Source organism: Homo sapiens, chromosome 4 (genome assembly GCF_000001405.40).
Source record: "Homo sapiens chromosome 4, GRCh38.p14 Primary Assembly".
Classification (NCBI taxonomy): Eukaryota; Metazoa; Chordata; class Mammalia; order Primates; family Hominidae; genus Homo; species Homo sapiens.
The window spans coordinates 116,193,141-116,196,477 of record NC_000004.12 but is presented as its reverse complement, the minus strand read 5'-3'; the positions used below and the strand labels follow the sequence as shown (position 1 = coordinate 116,196,477).

The window sequence follows — 3,337 nt, the reverse complement described above, 5'->3', positions numbered from 1 at the left end:
CCCAAGTTACTTATTAATTAGAAATGGAAAGATAGTAATATCAAAGAGCAGAAGTTACACACTACCTGAACTCAGCAAAACAAGTTAACCTCATCAGTAATGGGACAAATAGAAATCATGTGCTTCCTATCATTATGCTCAGAGAAGGATGAAATATTTCCTCTGGTAACCCTGCCAAAAATGTTTAACTTGAATTTAATCATAAAGAAACATCATACAAATATGTAAATAGAGGAACATCCCACAAATATCAAGGACATCAAAGACAACAAAAATCCAAGGAATTGTTCCAGATTATGGGAGATTAAAGAAATTTAACAACTCAGTGCAAGTTAAAATCTTGCCTTGGATCCAGGACCAGATTTTTGTCACTTATAGCAATGGAACAATAGGAAATATTTAAGTAAGGTCATTAAATAAGATACTAGTACTGTATCAATGCTGATACTACAGTTTTTATACTTACACTATAGTTAAATATAATCTTCATCTTTTTTCTTAAGAAAAAATATTGAACATAACAGTACAGATTTAAAACACTGTAAGATGGTAACAGAAAATTCAACAGGTTTTTGACTTGTTTGCTACAGTATGTGGAGGTACTGACCTGAAAAATACAGAAATTCACCATTCTGAATTATCTTGTATTTTATTTCAAATCCATTTAATTAACCTTTCAAACATATGGTTTTAAATATCCATGTCTTATATAGAAAACTGCTTGAAATATTTCTGTGTTACTTGAATAACCATTATGTGTATATGCATAAACCAGGAAAGGTCTAATTGCTATTTGCATGAATTATTTACAGCTAAGTGGCCCATGAAAAAAATGAGAGTCCATAAAAATGCTATTGTGTGCTAAAACCAATCTGTCTTGCTCATTTTAATTGTGAATGAGAATATCAGTTTATAGATTTTAGAAGCATAGGCTTATAAATGTTTCTCACAAACAAGAACAAAGGTTATAGAAGCAATCTGTCAACTAAATGCTTTAATAAACTTTCATACAGAATGCTTTATTTCCCCCAGAAAACTGGGTTTTCTGTTCCCAAAGGCGGATCACTAAGATGCCTCTTTTATTCTGTGTAACTAACTTATTATCATTTCAACTAATATAGTTGTAGTATGTATGTATGTATGTATGTATGTATGTATGTATGTATGTATGCATGCATGTACTGAGACAGAGTCTTGCTCTGTCGCCCAGGCTGGAGTTCAGTGGCACGATTTCAGCTGACTGCAACTTCTGCCACCTGAGTTTAAATGATTCTTCTGCCTCAGCCTCATGAGTAGCTGGGACTACAGGAGCGCGCCACCATGCCTGGCTAATTTTTGTATTTTTAGTGGAGACAGGGATTCCCGATGTTTAACAGACTGATCTGGAACACCTGATGTCAGGTGATCCGCCCGCCTCTGCCTCCCAAAGTGCTGGGATTACAGGCCTGAGCCACCGTGCCTGGCCTGTTGTAGCATTTCAACAGATCTAACATGGTGACCGCCATGGAGTTGATTTGTTGTTGTTGTTTTCAATCATTTGTATGGCATATATATTCAGGGCATTTAAAAATAGAAGTTTCTAGGTTGGTGAGCACATGAAGGTTCTGGAAGGGTGGCATGCCCTGAGAGGGCATGAAAGCTCTATGCCCCTTCCCACATACCTTGCCCTGTGCATCTCTCCCATTTGACTGTTCCTGAGTTGTGTCCTTTATAATAAGTCATGACAAATCAAGTGTCTTAACTCCTTTTCATAATGCTTTGGAACTTGCAATACGTCTGAGAGAAATTCAACATGTCTGTCTGTATGAAATTGGTTGGTGCCAAATGGTAAAGCTGAATTGCAAGGATAAATTTGATTCCTTAGAGAGGCTGAAAAAAAATAAAGGGTTCAGACAGTCCCAGTGCTATCTGCCTGTTTAACTGCAGTTTGTCAGGAATCCACTGGTGATGTGGGAGGCACAGTTTGTCTTTAAAGAAGTTCACAAACTCTTCAAAAGGAAAAACAACCAAATTGAACAGTTCTCTGTGAAAAAGTCAGAGGGAGTTTGGAAACAAACCTTAACCAAACTGCCCTGTGTGCTGGCATCTACTGAAGTGTTATACTTATAGAAAGCCCTTCCAAACTGTTCTGTTCCCAACCTATAGAGGAATTAGTCAAATTTCGCCAGTGAGTGGATAATTCATCTATTGGATTAAAGTATTTGCTTCTTGGTGCCATACATAAATCTCTAGGAAACTCAGAAGATGTTGTTCAGTTATTTCAGTAAGCAATTAAAGATGAGTTGTGTCGTCAGTATAACTTATATGTTCAACTGTATGCTTGCTGTGAACTTGGCTATTTTCTATTAGTGAAAGCAGAGACTAGAGAGAAGCAGAACTCTACTTCTTAAGAAAAGTACGATTGCTCTGGCTCCAACTTTGAAAACGGATTGCATTTTTACATCGATTCCAGTCTTTCTCAGAAAATTGGTTTCTCAGTGACAGATCTGATGTTTCTGCTCTGTCACTCTCCACCCAGGTTCTGTTTTTTAAGATCAAAGCAGAGGACAAAGCTCTTGTAAAGATGAGCTTTTGTTCTGAAAATCACCTATGCCAAAGACACATTTTTCCAATTAGGCTGACATATTAAATATCTCCTCTTTTAAACATATAACTAAAACGTAATAATAATAATAACTACCTGGGAAGACAGTTAAATGAACTTGTTCATTTTAATTTTGTGATTTATTAATTTTAAAACAAAATTAAACTAAGTATTCAAAAATAAAATACAGAAGCAACTAATCTCAGTCATTATTGATCTCAGCATATTCACATTTAAAGAGAATGGTGGGCAAGATAGCTATACATTCTTCATTTTTATTTTTGTGTTTGTTTGTTTCAATGATAAAAACAGATGAGTCTATTCTTCTAGATACCAGAAATTGTTATAGCACCATAAACTGGAAGTTATTAAAGTTCTTAATTAATTGAACAGCTTTTACCTGTAACACACTCTAGATGAATCTCATTTTAATTTTCTTTATACTACCTGTCCTTTGAAATAGAAAGTAAATAATATTCTCTTGGCAACTGTTTTCCCTTATTAACTAATTATGATTATATTTATCCAATATTTATTGGACTTTTACCACATATAAAGTACTGTGGTAGACTCTGACAATACAATAGTAAATGAGTGTGGTAGGCTCTGACAATACAACAGTAAATGAGATATGTTCCCATCTCCATAAATGAATATATGGATTTTTAGAAATGGTAACTAAGTAAGCAGGATATCAGAATAAGAGACAAACAGGATAAAGTGAAAATATAATTCTGAGGATACTTTTGAACT

General features: G+C 34.8%; 1 pseudogene; it reads left to right on the top strand.

Moving 5' to 3' along the window:
* Window positions 1,722–2,647, top strand: TTC39CP1 (tetratricopeptide repeat domain 39C pseudogene 1; annotated as a pseudogene).
* The last annotated feature ends 690 nt before the right edge of the window (window positions 2,648–3,337 follow it).